We start from the raw sequence: 19,620 nt of genomic DNA, 5'->3' as shown, positions 1-19,620 counted from the left end.
AATTTATAAGAAAAAAACAAACAACCCCATCAAAAAGTGGGCGAAGGATATGAAGAACAGACACTTCTCAAAAGAAGACATTTATGCAGCCAAAAAGCACATGAAAAAATGCTCACCATCACTGGCCATCAGAGAAATGCAAATCAAAACCACAATAAGATACCATCTCACACCAGTTAGAATGGCGATCATTAAAAAGTCAGGAAACAACAGGTGCTGGAGAGGATGTGGAGAAATAGGAACACTTTTACACTGTAGGTGGGACTGTAAACTAGCTCAACCATTGTGGAAGTCAGTGTGGCGATTCCTCAGGGATCTAGAACTAGAAATACCATTTGACCCAGCCATCCCATTACTGGGTATATACCCAAAGGACTATAAATCATGCTGCTATAAAGACACATGCACACGTATGTTTACTGCGGCACTATTCACAATAGCAAAGACTTGGAACCAACCCAAATGTCCACCAATGATAGACTGGATTAAGAAAATGTGGCACATATACACCATGGAATACTATGCAGCCATAAAAAATGATGAGTTCATGTCCTTTGTAGGGACGTGGATGAAATTGGAAATCATCATTCTCAGTAAACTATCGCAAGAACAAAAAACCAAACACCACATATTCTCACTCACAGGTGGGAATTGAACAATGAGAACACATGGACACTGCAAGGGGAACATCACACTCTGGGGACTGTTGTGGGGTGGGGGGATGGGGGAGGGATAGCTTTAGGAGATAAACCTAATGCTAAATGACGAGTTAATGGGTGCAGCACACCAGCATGGCACATGTATACATATGTAACTAACCTGCACATTGTGCACATGTACCCTAAAACTTAAAGTATTATAATAATAATAATAATAATAAATAGCTGTGGTGTGTTCCCATAAAATCTTACTTACAAAAACAAGTAGCAAGCTGGATTTGGCCCTCAGGGCTTAATGTGCCCATCCTAGTCTATAATAGTATCATTTACTTCTGATACCATTTATTTGCCATAGTGATCGGTTTTCAAAGCACTTTCACATCCATCATCCAGTCTGTTCTTCACAATAGTTATGTTACATAGGCGGGCAAACATCTTAATGTGATTAGACAGATGAGCTGAAGCTCAGAAAGATTAGGAAAAGTGAAGCCAAGAACCTAGATTTCTCAGCTCCTTGCCTGATACTTGTATTCTTATTGTGTCTCTTTATATAGATGGATACAAACTCCAAACATACCATCATGAACAACAAATGCAATGCCTCAAAGACTTCTGAAAAATGAAAGGTCAAACAACCTAACTGCCAAATTATGCTTTCCCTAGAGAGTTAGCTATTGATTTGCCAGAATGAAAAATAAACCATTGCAGCATAAACATTCTCTGAAAACTATAGTTATATTTTCATTTCCATGAAAAGAAAACAAAATTTAAAATGTTCTGAAATGCATAAGCCAGTTGGAAATTAATGTCTAGCCTCAGTTTGTTAATAGAATATAGAAATAAATAGAGGTAAAAACCCTTGCATATTGCCATTAACTTTGCAACTAGATCTATCAGAATGTCAGAAGCCACAGTTTTCTTTCTTAATGTATTAACAGGTGGTAAAATATATATAAGCACATTGAACATTGTAAAGTGCTTCTCCATAGTCAGTTAATATTATAATTTTTACTGCTGTCATTGTTAAGGACAAAAATGATCCTTAAATCGTGAGACAAAATGCATATTTTGCCAACCAAGTAAGCTTGTATTTATGCTGGGAAAAGAATATATTTAAATACAAAGAAACAAGCTCCAAATCTGGCCTGTTATTGATCCTCATGAACATGCAGTTTTAGTGAAAACAAAGGGATCATAGTCCATTTTCTCCTGTAGAAATTAGTCTTGAGTTTCATGGGAAAAGACCAGGCTACTTAACACTGGCAAAATCTTAGCCATTGTCCTATAATTCCACCCCCATAAAATAAAGTTCAGAGATACAGCTATTCTTTCATGGTGACAGACCAATATTTAGGCAAGAGAAAGGAAACTTACTTTTATGAGGCCACTACTCTGACCTAATATTTTACATTAGGTCCAACCCTAATATTTGTAGGGCTTGGAAGAAAAGTACAAATAAAAACCTACATATCTTAAGTTATATATGAGTCTAGAAAACATAAATGTATTCTATTCTCCTACCTTGAAAAAGACTTTATGACTATAATGTTTTTTTTTAAATGTGTGTAAAGTTATAGCTTTTATCTAACTAAAAGTCAGCAAAATATCAAAGATGACTGAAGTGTTATTGTACACATCTGCACGTTTTGTTGATGGACAGTGACTTGGGGATCAGTAGTTGTTCAATACTGCCAAATGTTCTCCAGTCACCATGTGCAACTACTGCAAAGAGAACGCTAATTCCCAGGTACCTCTGGAACCATGAAGAGAAGCAAGGAAATGGAGGCTTGATTCTACTGAAAAATAATACTTTTTATGCAATACACTACTACACTCACACTGAGAGAAAGGTTTTACAATTTAATTAGTCTTTTTTCTTACCGAAGTGCTTTTGCTGCTCAAATCTTCCCCACACTCCAAAGCAGGGCCTGTTTCAGACAACACAACCCACAAATCTTCACGGCATTCAGATGCAGTCATCTTTTGTTTGAGAACATTGGGTGAGATGTGGGAAAGCATTTCCCTGGGGCCTGAACAGTATTAGTAGTCATGAGAGTGGATGTTTAGCTGCCAACACTGAGCGCTGAATCCTGAGTAACAGAGGCATCGTGTATTCTTTATTGAAGTGTATGTGTGAGCGTGTGTGTGTGTGTGTGTGTGTGTGTGTGTGTGTTGATGAATATGAAGTTTTCCAAAGTTTGAGACCCAAGGTACTGGGTCCATTTCTACAGGTGGTACTGCCTGACATTAATTTTCTTACTTAATGTAGCTGTGAAGCACTATTTCTAGGTATATATCCCTAACTCCATTGTGCTCTAGAAGTGAGGGCTTTAATGCCACTCATTTTGCCATAGCAAGCTAAATCCAAGATTTCAAAATAGCTATTTAGCATTGACAACCACCACTATTCACTATGGTCACTTCAAAGACAATTCCAATTTTTCTATTGTGCAGTTTTATGTGGGCAGGGCAAGGGAAACAAACACTGGAGCTCAGGAAGAGTTGGGGGAGACAAAAACTGGGAACATGTTTCTTCCAGGGTTGCTCTGTCTCCAATTTAGTATTTGTATAGCAAAATCACACAATTACCTTCTAGCACCTTGGCAATTTGGAAGTTTCTTTCAATATTTACCCAGCAAGCATGTGTCAGGCACTATGCTGGGATCCAGGAATAAAGAGACTAGTCTCTCCCAGTAAGATCCAAATATTCCATGTCTAATAGGCTCTTCCTTACTATTTTTTGGGCCACTATAAGGAAAATATTCATTACTTCTTTCTGATACTTTCCCTTTCACTCTTTCCTTTTTTCAGTAAAAGGCATTAACCATAGCATAAAAAGATGATGTTAGGTACAGAGTTCTGCTGTCCCAGTAATCTAGAGCAGATGCCTTAAGTGTTCTACATCCTAGCCACCATCCCACAGGCCATGTTGAAAGGTAACAAGGGCCAGGCACAGTGGCTCATGCCTGTAATCCCAGCATTTGGGAGGTGGGTGGATCACCTGAGGTCAGCAATTCGAGACCAGCCTGGCCAACGTGGTGAAACCCTGTCTCTACTAAAAATACAAAAATTAGCCAGGCATAGTGGGGGGCACCTGTAATCTCAGCTACTTGGGAGGCTGAGGCAGGAAAATCACTTGAACCCGTGAGGCGGAGGTTGCAGTGAGCCAAGACCACACCATTGCACTCCAGCCTGGGCAACAAGAGCAAAACTCCATCAAAGAAAAGAAAAGAAAAGGAGAAGAGAAGAGAAGGAAAGGAAGAGAAGAGAAGAGAAAGAAGAGAGAAGAGAAGAGAAGAGAAGAGAAAAGAGAAGAAACGAAGGTAACAGGTCAGTAGACTCAGCATTAACTACCCCCCACCTAATTCCCACCTCTTACATTCACGTTATTGGTGTAAAAGTAAAGAGAAAAAGAAGGAGGCTGCAGAACTGAAGAATTTCTCAAGATTAGCTCTTCTCCTCTCTCCCAACACTGGAGAGGGAGGGAGGCTCCATGAAAAGGAGAGGGAACATTGTGTACCTTAATTGGGGTAAGTTTAGTCACTGAGCTTGCTAGCAAGTCCTTATACCACTGGAGGTAGGTAAAGAGCACTGGGTGGATATGGTATAAAAAGGGAAAGTTTCCTGCTCCTGAAATGTGTGTAAATTAGAGCTGAACATACCAGTAGACAACAGAGATGGAAACACTGTAAACACAGATGACACTGTATTATAGTCGTGCCAGGCACAGCTATAGGATACGGCAAAGGATGGGAGGTGTTCAGCTAGGGATCAACTAGAAGATGGAGTAGAGTCTTGCATAGGGAGCCACTTAAGATGAGACTGTTATCAGGAGGCCTGATGGAGCCACCACCCATGCTCAAGGATTTCATGGACTCAATCGCAAACTAGGTCAGCAATTAGGGCCAACCAAGAAGAGTCATGCAACTTCACTATGGACAGGCATACAAGGCAACATTTTCATCTCATTCCCTTCCTCATTGCCCTCAACATCAATCAGAGTCATCATTCCAAGAAGGCAGAGCAAAAAGTGCGTAAGAGAACAGACCATAACCCAGACCCCACCACTCCTAGCCACCAGAGCCACAAGTTTAGCCTTGATTAGGGGGATGATGGGGTTGAGAGGGAGGGAGGACAGCTGAGATTAAGAAATATCAACTAAATAGAAGTTTGAAGTTTTTACATTGTTTTGTTTGTTTTATCCATCCCCCTAAGCATTTATTTATTGAGTTACAAACAATCCAATTACACTCCTTTAGTAGGTTTTACATTGTTAACACTGAGACTTAAAAACTTTAAGTGGGACTGTTTTAATAAGAAATAAGAATGTGGATTTTGCTAGAGCAAATTCGTAACAGGTTTTGGAAAAAATAAAACAATTTCACATATGATGCTGATGGGGTACAGGAAACACTAGCCCCAAATGTGGCACCTTACAATACTCAGTATTTCAAGCTGAAGGAAACTGAGAAAGCCACAGAAGCAGAAAGATCTCTCTGAACTTCTTTCCTGAAGCCTCTTGTGTGGCAGATGATCTGCCCTATATCCGAAGGGAGGGAATGCTATCCAGAGAGGCCAAGAACAATCTCAAGAAACAGACCTTGCTACTTCCCCCACCCCCAGTTTATTACCATTCAGTCATACTCCTTTTTCATCTAATCATACTTCTACATGTCTGTCCGTTCTTCATCAAACCTAAGCATAAAAATACATGATCTTCCCTATGTTTGGGGGTCTTCATTTCTGAAGACTCTCATATCCCATAATATTTGGCTAATAAATTTGCTTTGCTTTTCTCTGGCTTAAATCTTCCTTTTCTTTTACGGAACTCAGTCATAAACCTTGTGATGAGTGAGGAAAAGTTATGACTTTTTCTCCCCTACAATATCAAAGCATTCAGACAAAAGGAAACAAGGAAATTCTCAAACATATACATCAAACTGCAGCTAGTGAAAAAGTTATGAGATGACATTACTGTTCTACAAAGAAACCTAGTGTGTGTGTAGGAAGGGTGCATGGGAAATTCTGCCCTATTTGTCATTTTCCAGCTATTTGGAGTTATATCAGAGAGAGATGCTTCTTGTCTTGATTGCCAAAGGCATTTAAATTTGGCAGAACTCCTGGCTTAAATGTTTGCAAATTGTTCATACTTATAACTGGGATCTCTTTCTACAAAAGAGTAGAGAATAGAAAATTGCACTCTGCATTTTTCTCTGTGAACCTTCTTCTTGCTTCTCGTCTTCATGGTTGCCTATTAATAGTGATCGCCTTTGGAAAGGAGATCAGAAATTGCTTCAGAAAGGGTCTGTTCTTCCAAATGATATTGGTAAGATGAGGTGTTTTTTTCTTTAATAAATCTGTTTCTCTTCTGATCTCCTCACTTTGCAGCTAAAGTCTTTCAACCTCCTTGGGATGAAAGAAGTACTGCAGAATATTGATTTTTTACTTCCCCTATAAATTCATGACAAATGTTGAACAAAAGCTTATCTGGAAGTTTAGACATCCAATTAAAATTTTGCTCGCAAGTGAAAATTCCTCTTAAGAAAAGAAAAAGAACTCCAACTTCTTTGCACTCTCATACATCTTCATCTCACTGGTGACATGTCCCAGGGACCAGTCTCAAAAAATTGATCTCAGAATTAACTTGAGGTGTGTGTGTGTGTTGAAAGTGAGAAGCATCACTCAACATTTTTGCTTGCTTTGGGTCAAAAAGAAAGCAAGACACGGCATCTACCTGGAAGGGTCACGTGGTTTTGTAAATTAGGGGGCAATTTAGACCCAGAGGCTGGGTGAGTGAGTCTGTCTGGGGTGAAATGAAGACACATAGGGCTCAGAAGGGAAAAGCATGTTATTTCAGGCAAGGGATAAATATAAGTGCAGAGGCAGAAAACATGAGGGCATGGAGGGAAGCCTGAACATGTATGAGCAAAGCATCTCAGAACAGTGATGCATTGCCTAGGAGACCAACACATGGTTTGTACGACAAGAAGTCAGAAAAAAAGTCTGGCAACGGAATTGAAGCAGCCTTGCATGGGATTTCATAGAAGTCTCAGTAATTGAACTGGTTCTTTGCTCACTTTTTTTAAACCTCTGATCCTCTTTTTTTTTTTTTTCATCTATTAGCATCCTCTGCCACAACTTTACCTGATAATCTTTATCTACTTCTTTATGCCTCTTCTCCAACTACAAATTGAAACTATTACTGGAAAGGTAAAACGACATTTGGTAAAAGAAACACTGTGAATTATGTGAAATTATTAATCAAATATTGGAAAGATGATTATAATTCTGCTATCCAAATTAGAAAGATAAATGCCTAGATACACATACATATACAGGCATACCCGCCCATACACATATGTGCACATAGGCTCACATGTACATGCACATGTATACACATGCAAACATGCATGGTCATGGCTATACATTAATATACATGCATATTTGTGCTCACACACAACATAACATAAAGAAATGAAAAGCAAAAGAAAATAATCTTTCTCCACTTTAGAAACAAAGCTGTTTTTAAAAGAAGAAGCTGCCAATCTTTTCACCTCACAGGGTTCATTGTGTAATCCTAAATTCTACAGTGCTTTCCCACAGAATAATAATAACAATAACTTGATTATCATTTCTCTGCAGGGCCACAGAACAACTTTGAGTGATGAATTTAGAGGCAAAAACCTCTACAATCCCAAATTCCTCACTTCCTTACATGGGTGTGGCCCCAGGAGTTCCAAAGCATTGCCATCTTCCATGTTTTTCACCTTTCTTACTGCACCCATCTTGTCTCTCCATAGCATTCTGCATTTGTTTTGATTTACAGTTTTCACATCATCTTGGGGAAGCAGACACACAGATATATAAGCAGAGCATCAAAAAAGAGATAACTGCTCAGGGAGCCATCTGGGGAGAGGCACCAAGCTCAAGTTCTATACCCTAATAGCCATTGCTTAGATGTATTTTAGAGTGGGTAAGCAGTTGAAGGTTATATGCTCACACAGGAAAAGCTTGAGTAGAAACCTCTAGAGTAGTGGTCCCTCTTGGGATGGTCAACCCACTCTTTTGCAACTGTATTTGACAGGACTTTTTCACTTGTTAATATCGAAATTCCCACACAAACTGGCTTAAGCAAACAAAGTGAATGTACTGACTTATGTAACAGAAAAGGCAGCGCGATATCCAGGCTCTCAATCAACACTCCCAAATAAAATCAATCTCAATTTCAACCTCAATCAATTTCCCTTGCTTTCTGCCCCTCCCCTCTCTCATTTTCTTGACTCTGCTTTACTCTGTAAAGGGACTCATTCTCAAGGGGCTCTCCCCAGGTAACCACAAAGATGCCTAGGCTCCTATTCTACATCCCTTGCCCAGTAACTCCAGCAAAAGCCTTGAAGACCCTTCCTATGGGCCTGATCTTTGTCATCCGACTATACCAAAGTGATCCTTGTGGACAGGAGCCTGCTCTACTCTCACTGGCCAGGCTTTCCAACCAACAGTCAGCTGTCAAGAGCCGTGAGGGGTCTGAGATCTTACCTTCCTTGCCAGTTAAGAAGAGAGCCTCCCACAGCTTCACACATGCTGCTAGACCCTTGGGTCAGAGACAAAAAACTTGATTACTCATGGCACAGAAAGCAGTCTGTGCTTCATATTCACATTGGCTCCCCTTGCTCCACAAGTCCCTTGAAAAACATACAGAGTGGCCCAGGTAGGTGCTGCATACATACAGTTGATTTGCCTCATATGTGAGGGCCTCAAGTTTAGGAAACCCCTGATCTTAGAAGGAGGCTGCTAGCAAACCTGCTCACCCTTCACCCTGGAGGGAGATATTATCTTTATTATTCTAGTCAGGAAACAAACCTAGCCATTTCCTGCAGGGAAGCCCTATCTCTATTATCCAAGGCTGTTTACTATAAACATCCTTGAAAAGATCCTCTGAAACAAGAGCTGACACAAGATGTGCAGAAATATGAAAGATCCACAAGAATTGTCTTCCAACAATAAGGCTGTAAAGCAGGAGGAATGGGGAGAAGAGGGGTGGGAGGGGTAGTTCTCCATAATGAAGAAACATGTTCTGATACCAGAAAAGAAACACTGAGCAGACCAAAAAAAAAAAAAAAAAAAAAAAGTACTGTCTATGGTCATTGACAGTATCACACTAACTCCAGATGTATCAAATTTCTCTGACTCCTCACCTCACTTTTACCTTCTAGGACTCCCTGGCAATTTTTGCACCTAAGTGAACTGTGTCAATGTCAAATTCAAATTATTATTTCCATCTGACAGTGTGCTTCCCTTAAATTGAACTTCTAAAAAAAAAAAAAATTCTGAAAACCCTGGAGGCAAAACACATCACTCTGGGACCACCCCTTTGCATGGACCAAATGGTGGTAAAGGCCGTGGATTTCTGTCTTAAATGCCTCCATCACTTTTAGACTGATCCCATAGGTTACCTGAATTTGATAATGTGGCGCCTTCATGATCACTCCCCTCTAACTCCTGAAGTGCACACAACTCAAAAGGAAAATTAGAATTCAATATGTAGGTAGGGAGGTTAGTGCTGTGCTAGAGTAAGTGAGTAAATAGCAGACTTGGGTTCATAATCTGCTTTGTCATGTAACTGCGATGACCCTACCTGTCCATGAATTCTGAGGAATGCTTTGATTTTCCTTGAGCACAGGTTCCATGGATGGAATCTAGGAAGAGAAGATTGGCGAGAAAAGACACAAGCAAGGTGTGGAGTCCAAGAAGGGGCAAAATTTCCCCAGAGAAATAGGCGATGCCAAAGGAAAGGACAACCCCAAGAAGGAAGGCATTTGAAATTCCACAAGACTATCTTCGAAATAATTCCATTATTTTGAGCCAAAAATGTTTCTGAAAACTTTGACCTTATTATGCATAAGGGGTACTACATTTCAAAGATACACGAATTAGTTCTTTCAGTCACAGACATGGTTTTATTAACTTCAGCATCAGATTACCCAAGGAAGGAGTTTTAAGGGAGACACTGTTTTGAGCTGATAATGATACAGAACGGCTGGGCTCCCCGCTAAACCTCACCCTAGAGCTGGGAACTGAGGCCCTAACTGAAAACAGCTGACCCTGTTTTTCCATCCAAATGTTGCTTTTTTGGCCTGCCCTCCCCCTATCCTGTGCCCATAAAAGACTTCAGCTGGCGGAACAACACAAATGGCTGAGCGTTGAGGATACAAGCGGCTGAGCGGCGGGCAGAGAAGCAACTGAGGATTGGAGACTACAGAGAGACACCACTAACTTCAGATGGTGCAGCTTCAGAGAGTGGCCCTGCCAGAGATGGCCAGGCTTCAGGGAAATATCACCTTCCCATCCCCTTTCCAGACTCCCTTTCGACTGAGAGCCACCCACCACTCAATAAAGTCTTCTGCATTCATCACCTTTCAAACAGTTAGTGTGACCTGATTCTTCCTGGACGCCAAACAAGAACCCCGGTGCCAAAAGGGCAGGGGCTGCCATCCTGACCCTACACTGAGCTGGTTGGCACTTGGCCATCCCCAGAAGGCAGAGCTGAAGATCACTGGTTGTAACATGCTTGGATGCTGCTGCAGGGCCTGCACAGAGCCTGCTCCTGCCAGAGAGGAGCGACCGGCTGGTTCCAGCATTTGTTAGCTCCAGTTCCTGCACTGGCTTGCACGCTCCCTCTGGCGAGGAGTGGCCAGTGGCGAGCTGAGTGAAACAAGCCACTCCAGTTCCTGCCTGCGAAGGGGTTCAAGGGAACTATCCCGTCTCAATATGACCAAGCAGAGTGTTGGTGATGGAGATGTTGATTCCATCTGCCAATTCTGGGCTCTTTGGCAAAAATTTCAAAAACAGACCTTGCATATGTTCATTTGACAGATAAAGCAGTGCACATAGCAATAGACAAATGCTAGGTAGCAGGTACTCCTTCCCTCCTCTTCTAAGATTTTTCTACAACCTCCAACACTTCAGAATCACATTCATCTACAATGTAATAAAAAATATCTATTTGTCTCTGCCCTCACTTCCTGACACAGAGCTCCTAAAACTCTTGTAACTTTCTGAGTGATAAGGGAAATAGGAGAATCCTTTGTTATAATATTTGGCCTTAGTCTGATTCTTAAGCCAGCTTCTAAGGCCCTTGGAATCTCCAGAGTGGTAGCTTTCAGTATGCAAATGAGATGACTGGTGGCCGGGGACCCTAGATAGCTTCAGGATGGGAGTGGGTCACCAGAAAGACCAGGGCAAGATTGAAGAATTAGAACTTTCACCCCTACCCCCAACCTCTATGGAATGGAAGGGGCTGGAGATCGAGTCAATCACCAATGGCCAATGATTTAATCAATCATGCCTAAGCAATGGGGCCTCCATAAAAAGCCTAAATCTAGGGGTTTGGAGAGTTTCCAGGTTGGTGAATTTATCCACGTCACAGGAGGGTGGCATATTCCAATTCCAAAAAGACAAAAGCTCCTGCACTCAGGACCCTTTCAGTCCTCATCCTATGTACCTCTTTGTTTGGCTGTTCATTTGTATCCTTTACAATATCCTTTATAATAAACCAGTAACGGTAAATAAAGTGTTTTCCTGAGTCCTGTGAGCCATCATGACATATCATTGAACCTGAGGAGGGGGTCATGAGACACCCAATTTGTAGCCACGTCAGGTAAGAATGTGGGTAGTAATCTAGGGACCTACTACTGGCATCTGAAGTAGGGGGCAGTCTTGAGGGATTGAGCTCTTAACTCATGAGGTTGATGCTAACTTGAGTTACTGTCAGAATTGAATTAAATTGTGTGTATATCCAATTGGTATCCCCAGGGAACTGGAAAAGTACAATATATGGAAAACTACTCATTTTTTTGTCAGAAGTTTTGTGAGTAGAGAAACTGATTTCTGTTACAACCCATCCAATCACTCATTGAAAAAATGTTTCGTAGGTATCTACCATGTGTCAGGCACTGCTATGCATTAAAGATTCAGCAGTGACCAAAACATATATGGTCCCTTCCTTCATGGAGTTTATAATCTAAGGTGAAATACGGTTATTCATAAGGTCAAAACACAAATTAATACCATAAAATATTGTGCTAAAGACTAAAAAGGGGAAAAAGGAATAAGCAGTATTACTATACAACATTTTCTTGTATGTTAGGGATGTCTTCTATGAAGAAGTAACAATGTTGCTGAGAGGAAAAGGATGTTCAGGTAGTAATAGGTGAAATTAAAGGAGAGCAGAATGCTTCTCACCAAAAGCAGAGACTCTGTGAAGAGTTGGAAAGAACAGGTGGTATGGTCAGGTCCTGAATGGAGGCAGGTGATACAGTAGAATGGTGAGGAAGGTGCAGATGGGGCAGACAAAGTTGGGAAGTCAGGCAGGGTCCAGTCTGGTGGCCCCATGAGTCAGAATACACAGGCCTCCATATTAGTTCATCTAGCACTGTTATAAAGAAATACCTGAGACTGGGTAATTTATAAAGAAAAGAGGTTTAATTGGCTCACAGTTCTGCAGGCTGTACATGAAGCATAGTACCTTCTGCTTCTGGGGAGGCCTCATGAAACTTTTACTCGTGACGAAAGGCAATGCAGAGGCAGGCATCTTACATGGCAGAAGCAGCACCGAGAGAGAGGGGGGAGATGCCACACACTTTATTTATTTATCTATTTAGAGGCAGAATCTTGCTCTGTCACCCAGGCTAGAGTACAATGGCATGATCTTGGCTCACTGCAACCTCTGCTTCCCTGGTTCAAGCGATTCTTGTGCCTCAGCCTCCCAGGTAACTGGGGCTACAGGCATGTACCAACATGCCCAGCTAGGTTTTGTATTTTTAGTAGAGACAGGTTTTTGCCATGTTTTCCAGGTTGGTCTCAAACTCCTGGCCTCAAGTGATGTATCAGCCTCAGCCTCCCAAAGTGCTGGGATTACAGGTGTGAGCCACTGCACCCGGCTTAACTTTTAAACAACTAGATCTCATGAGAACTCTATCACGAGAACAGCACCAAAGGGATGGTGACCAACCATTCATGAAGGATCCACACCCATGATCCAATCACCTCCCACCAGGCCCCACCTCCAACACTGGGGATTACAGTTGAACACGAGATTTGGGTACCAATAGAGGTCCAGACCATATCACCCTCATAGGCTGGGGCAGGAACTCTGGAAGGTATTAAGAGAGAATAATGCCATCTAATTTATGTTTATAACAGATCACTCCAGCTTCTGCACACATAATGAGCCTTGGTCCAAGAAAAGAGACATGTAGACTATGTAGGGTGCAGATTTTCAGGGTGAGGTCTGAGGACCAATGTCATAAACATCACCTGGGAACTTGTTAGAAAAGCAGATTTTCAGAGCCCCACCCCAGATCTACTGAAACAGAAACTCTGGAGGTGGGGACAAGTAATCTGTGTTTTAATAAACCCTCCAAGGTGATTTTGACGCATATCAAGATCTGAAAAACCACTAGTTTAGGGGATTACTACATCATCATGGGAAGAAACTATGGTGTCTTACAGCAGGATGCTGACAGTAGAGATGGAAACCACTAATCCATGAACAAATCCTAAGTACAATCATGCACCATATATAACGATGTTGCAGTCAACAACAGACACATATACGACAGAGGTCCCATATGATTATACCATATTTTTACTGTGCCTATTCTAACGTTTAGATATACAAATATGTACCACTGTGTTACAATTGATTACAGTAATTGGTCCAGTAACATAGTCTAGGAGCAATAGGCTATGCCATACAGGGTAGGTATGTAAGTAGGCGATTCCATCTATGTTTGTGTAAATACACGCTATATGTTCACACAACAAAATTGTCTCATGACACATTTCTCAGAACACATTCCTGTCACTAAGTGATGCATGACTGTATTAATAGATGTTCCCTACAAATTTGGCAGAGGAGAGTAAATGTAGCACTTCTTAGAGCAATCAGGAGAACAACTGAGTAAGTCAGCAGGTCTTGCAGCACAAAAGGCAGCATGACTGTCTTCCGCATAACTCAGTTTGCATGCTTGAGGCTTTCCTACCCCTAAGGACTTCGGCACTTGAGATTCCTTAAAAAATTGCTACCTCTAAGAGCTAATATTTGAAACATAATTATATTCAGTTCCATTCAACAAGTCTTTACTGAGGACCTGCTGGGTACAGCGTAAGAAACAGAAATAACTCCCACCAGGAAGACCTAGAAAATGATCATGGAGAGGTGGAGGAATTCTATTAAATAGAAGGCAGCAATTGTAGCATAAAAACTGATATAAAAAGCAGAGAAAGGAAAAGTGCCCGCTTGGTGCTTAAGCTGTCCACCATATTTTGCTGGTATAACTGTTCTTTTTTCGGTCCCTTAAAACCCATCCTTCCCCAAACACACATGTATGCATATATGCAGGCACACACCCATAGATATGTCCACTCACTCACAAATGCACAGAGAAGTAATAACATGTTGCACCTCACTCTTCTACAGCTAAAATGGCAAACGCATCAATTTTTGCTTTCCGGAGGAATAAGAACCACCAATTTCATGAACATAGTTTCTTCTATAATCTTGACTTTTAGAATGAGAATGGAACTACTTACAAAAGTGAACAACTGTCTTAGATCAGGTCCCAAAATGCATCCATCCAGAACACGAGATTTGTGGAAAGGGTATTAGTGACCACCCAGTCTGACCTCCTTTAGCAGGAAATGTCAAGGGACTTGCCTAATGTATTGTGTCACAATATCCACAACAGACCTGAAACAAGAGCCTACCTATTTCTCTCAACTTTCTCATGTTACCCTCACTCCCTTCCAAAGAGTCATTACACTGAGAAGGTACTCATTTATATAAAAATATTTGAGTAAACTTCATTCAATGAGCGTGAAAACGTACACTGTAGAATATTCCAGCTTAATCAAGAGGCAGTCTGTTCAAGTAACTCCATGCTCTGAACATTCTGGCTAAGATTTCACTCTGTTTCCTTAGCCACTGTTCTACTCTCAGGGTAAGATGTGCTTGCATGCCGTGAAGATAATCATTAGAGGGATTAGAGACATTTCTGAGTGCACAAGAGTGACACAGAAACCAAGAGAGGCTTCTTCCTTGGCAACATCAATTAGGCAATCCCAATTGTCAGAGTGAAGTAACATCTTACTTCAAACAGAACAGAGTTGGGGAAAAAAAATACACGACAAACATCAAGAAAGCAGCAGTAGCTCCAATAATATCTTTACACAAAAACAAACTTCAAACCTGAACAAGTCTATCAGTCAACATTTGTTTGTCCTTTTTTTTGTTCTCAAAATGAAGAACAGCTGAATGGAGCAGGGATTTTGATGGGGATAGATGGTTTCTATAATTTGGTTCCCCAAAGTTTATTTGTTCTGGTCATTTTCTCTCATTTATCTTAACAGATCAATATCTGTCTTCAGGTGCTCCCCCACAATTTAGCAATCTGAAAAAGAATGAGTTTCTGCAGGAAAACTGTGACTTATTGGTAGAGTTTGGGTTGGGTCATTCACAGCAGATTTGAGTTTGGGGAAAGCTTCCTGAGAAGTACTGATGCCAGTGCACCTGCTAAGTTTAAGATCAAATATTTACTCCATGGAGAATATAATCATTTTTTAATTAAGGAAGCTTAGACATGAATAAAATAACAGAAAAAAATGTATGATTTCTATTCAGTCCTAAAACTGTCAATGACAGAAAATGACTTCCCACGAAGACTGGGAGCTCCCAGCCACTCAGCTATGTCATTCCAGGCATTTTTGGTAACCCAGAAATGCTGTGGCTATGAACGGACTCAGGGAACTGTCCTTCAGGGGAATCTCTTTAATAGATATGTTTTAGGTGCCTGTTTTGCCTAAGGAGGCAGAGAGAGACCTAGTGAGAGAAAATTTAAAGCAACAGAGACAGAGAAAAAAAAAGAGACAGAGACAAGGATACACTGAAAAGAAAAAGAAAAGAAAGGAACAGAAGTAATGCTGTCCAGGCAGAGAGCAGAACACACACACACACACATACATACACACACACACAGAATGGCTGCTTCAGTATTCTTAGTTCACATGCCTCCACCATCAGATGTCCCATTCTCTCTTGTCCTTGGTATTCTTGAGATCCACTTGTGTCCTTAAATGTAGGCCTCTCACAATCAATGCACATGGAAAAGAACGATCCTTTATCTTGATTATTTTGTGGGCACTGATTTTAATTTTTTTCAGTCAACTTGACTCTACTGATCTATATTATGAATGATCATAATCCAACTCACAAATATTAGACTCACAAAGTAAGCAAATACGGTTAGCTCACTCCTTTCCTAAAATCCACTGATGCCTCTCCATTGCTCAGAGAATACAGCTCTGTTTCTCTAACCTGTCTCACTAAGCCCTGCAGGATCTGACCTCCGCTCACCTTTTCAGCCTCTGTTGTCACCTCACCCCACCTCAAACCGTGTTCCATGGACAGAACTATGGACTTCTCTTCATTACTCAAGCCCACCAGGATCTTGTCTCTTCTTCAAGGCTCTCCCTAAAACCTCCACCCCTCCCTCAGGATCCCAAGATTCACTCACCAATCCAATCCCTGGCCCTCAGCAAGTAGAGAAAAGCATTCTCTAAATCTCCTCAACCCCAGTTAGCTACTTTTCTTATGTATCCTCTCAGGACAGCACAGTTGCCCGAATCACAGGCTCTCTGGCCGTGTTGTAACCATCTCCTGACTTGCCTCTCTCCCCACCATGGGATCATGTCTTCCACGTTCACTACTGCTTGCCTAACCTCAACACTGAGGATGATATTTTAAAAGTACAAATTTAGGGTCATTTTAAGCTAAACCATTCTTTGGGGGGGAGGGCAGTTGTGTGTGTATAACAAAAAGGAATTTTCACTAAAAGATATAAGTTAAAGAACTGAATACTTCCAGTATTCCTTATGAAGTTCCATGTCAAGAAATATCTCACTGCCAAATATGAGATTTAACGGTCAAAACAATTCTGGACCAGTGCCATTTGCTTGGCAATGGTGGGAGGACTCTGGGGGGATTTTGCCCTCCATTTTCAGCCAACCTACTGCACAGATAATCAGATTAATTCTCTGAGGTTGAGTTCCCTGGGAAACAGAGCCTAAGACTCTGAGATTTGTGTGCCAGAGGTTTGTCGGGAGTGCCCTTGGGATAAATTCTGGAGGAAAGGGAAGGAAGCGGGATTAGGTAGAGAGAGGACCTATACTGTGATACACTCTCAATAGAGGTCTCTGGATTCAGTGGGGAGTTTGAACGCTTGCAAGGTCCTTTACAGTCGTCTTAAATTGAAGCAAGGGGCTGGGCACTGGTGTGCTAGATAAAAGGTTATTGGATACTCTCTGCCCCTTTCCTCCTGGGAGCAATCACAACCTTGGGCAAAGCAATTCCCAGAGGCAGTGAGCAACTGGGCAGAGAGAATGACATGTGAGAACAGTGTCCCTCACTAGCTGCAGTTGAGAAAATGAATGCCTGGGTCCTAAAGCAGGCACCTGGGCTGCACATCACAGCATCTACTACACTATTTCATCAGGAAGAGAAAGAGGTTCTGATGCTTTTATTACTTATCCCTGGTCAGAACTCATGGGTACGGGGTTATCAATTACAACATCCCTTCAACCAACTGGCAATACAATCGGATATATTTCTCCTTAACATTCCTACAAGGAAATATCTACAGAGCTAGCTCGCATTTTTCAAATAAAAACATAGCTCTATCAAGAGGCTTTTGGTAGTACAGGTGTTCGGCTTTGGTGAGGTGAAAGGTGGGGCTGAAAAAAGAAAAGTTTGGCAGACTTAATTAATAACAGTAAACAATAGCTATACTTTATTTATTCCACAGGCATCCCATGAAAAGGGAACTGAATCCAAATGAGCCTGGATGAATCACAAAGGTCCAGGCCCTCAAAGGGAATTTTCCTGAGGAACTAGGAGAGCATACATAGAAACTCCATGCGTACTTTTTAGCTGAATTGAATGAAAGCTTATGCAAAATTGTGGCACCCATACTTTTATTCTGAAACAGTGAAGTTTTCAGTTCTAGGTCAGTCTTTTAAAGACAAATTAATAAAGATGTTCTGGGGTTTGAGAATTTTAACAGGAGATACAGAAAATAGCAGAAAAGGAAGACTGGTCTTAGAAGACTTGAGTAAGACAAAGGAGGTAAGGGAAGGTAGAACCTTAGTATTGCATTCTGGCTGTGTCTGAGCAAAGGAAGAAAGCTTAGAGGCGTCTAAGAGGGGCTGACAGATGCAGGCCGCAGGAATGGCAGAAATCAATAATATGAAGTCATAAAACCAGACAGGCATTGAACATTTAGATGGCAGAGCAGACCCAGAAAAAAATTGCAGTGTGCTGTGTCAGTATCTGCAAAACAAACAAACAAAAACCATAAAGGTGACATGCTGCAAATGTTGGCAAGGGAGATCCTGGAATTACTTGCTACTCACTAAAAATGTGTAAACTGTCAGTGAGATAGTCCTAATTTATGGTACTGTCTTAAGTTACTTTAGTAACATAAAATTTTAAAGGCTTGCATAGACTCATTTGGGACTTCTATTGCCCATTCTTAGTTTTGAAATAATGGCCTCAACTGTGAATTCTCTTACGAAGGTTTTTAATACCTAATTTCTGTGTTAGGTAGAAGCCATTGCATGTACACACATTTTACTAACGGACATACACACCATCCACTTGCAGCTCACCAAGCTCCCTAATGTGCATGTTTGTCCACAAGCTCCTAGACCCTGACCATGAGTGAGCTACTGGGACCAGAAGGATGGTAATCCCAGCTCTGTCATTTACTATCCTTGAGATCTTGCAAAATTCCCTTAACTACAGAAAGACACAGCTTTCTTATCTCTTAAATAACATAGGAATGAATATTTGAAAAGCCCTGTCCATCTTGCAAGGCTTTCTTAGAGTTTCAAATGAGATTTTATAAGTGAAAGTCACTTATAAACTTTAAGATGCAATATAAACATAAGAAATTATGGTGGCATGTGTAGAGAGTATAGGATTCTGCTCATATTATGTAACGAGTATAGAAATTATCCAGCAAAATTGGTGAGAAAAAAATAGTTTAAATATAAGTTCATTTACATTTGGCCATTTTTCACCCTAATAATACAAGCTACCACAACATGAAACATAATAATAAATGAACTTGCTCATGGTTACTGTGGAAATGCTTTCATAAAACAGCTATGTCTGGTGTGATTTAAAAAAAAAAGCCAATATTTACCAAGTGCACTTAATATGGGCTGGCACTATTCTAAGAGTTTTAGATGTATTAAAACTCATTTAATCCCCATTACACCCCTATGAGGAAGGTAATATTATAATAGTAAACTCACTTTACTAATGAGAAATCTGGGGCTCAGAGAGGTTAATTTGCCCAAGATCACATAAATAGGAGGGGTGGCACCAAGAGCTGAACCCAAGCAGTCTGGCTCCTAACCCAACACAGTGATATACTAGAGAGAGAGAATATCAGCACTAACATTGAAAAGTTGTAACTGTGGGAAGGAGGTAGAAAAGGACGGTCAGGGAAAGAAAATATTTGTAAAATGTTAATCTGCTTAATGTTTTTACCTAACCTCTTCCAAGTGTACAAAACTTTGTGATTAAAAACAAACACCTAGCCCACAAACATACAGTCTAATAACCAGGAGTCTCTTTATTTCTCATAAAGGGATTTATCTGTCCTTAATGGTTCTGCTGTCTGATCTCAGATGGACCTAACCCCATTCCCCATTCTTAATTACCAGCAATTCAATTTGAACCAGGGTAAATGGACAGCTTGATCATATCTGCAGTCTGACACCAGAAATGCTATGACAACCACCCATTTTTCTTTAAAAAAATGATCTCGTAGCTTGTATCATGTCCTGTCTTTCATCTTCTGGAAGAAGAGAGATGGAATGTACAAATAAGCCACACTGT

The 19,620-nt window shown here is 40.9% G+C and overlaps 1 long non-coding RNA gene across 1 annotated transcript in view; it reads right to left on the bottom strand.

The window, feature by feature from the left end:
• The window catches only part of LINC00693 (long intergenic non-protein coding RNA 693), a 183,060-nt gene that overhangs the window by 70,302 nt on the left and 93,138 nt on the right, over window positions 1-19,620 (bottom strand). The gene's annotated exons all lie outside the window — the stretch shown is intronic.

The sequence above is a fragment of the Homo sapiens genome, chromosome 3 (assembly GCF_000001405.40).
Source record: "Homo sapiens chromosome 3, GRCh38.p14 Primary Assembly".
NCBI classification, from domain to species: domain Eukaryota; kingdom Metazoa; phylum Chordata; class Mammalia; order Primates; family Hominidae; genus Homo; species Homo sapiens.
The sequence above is the reverse complement of the archived record's forward strand: the minus strand, read 5'-3'. Positions and strand labels throughout refer to the sequence as shown.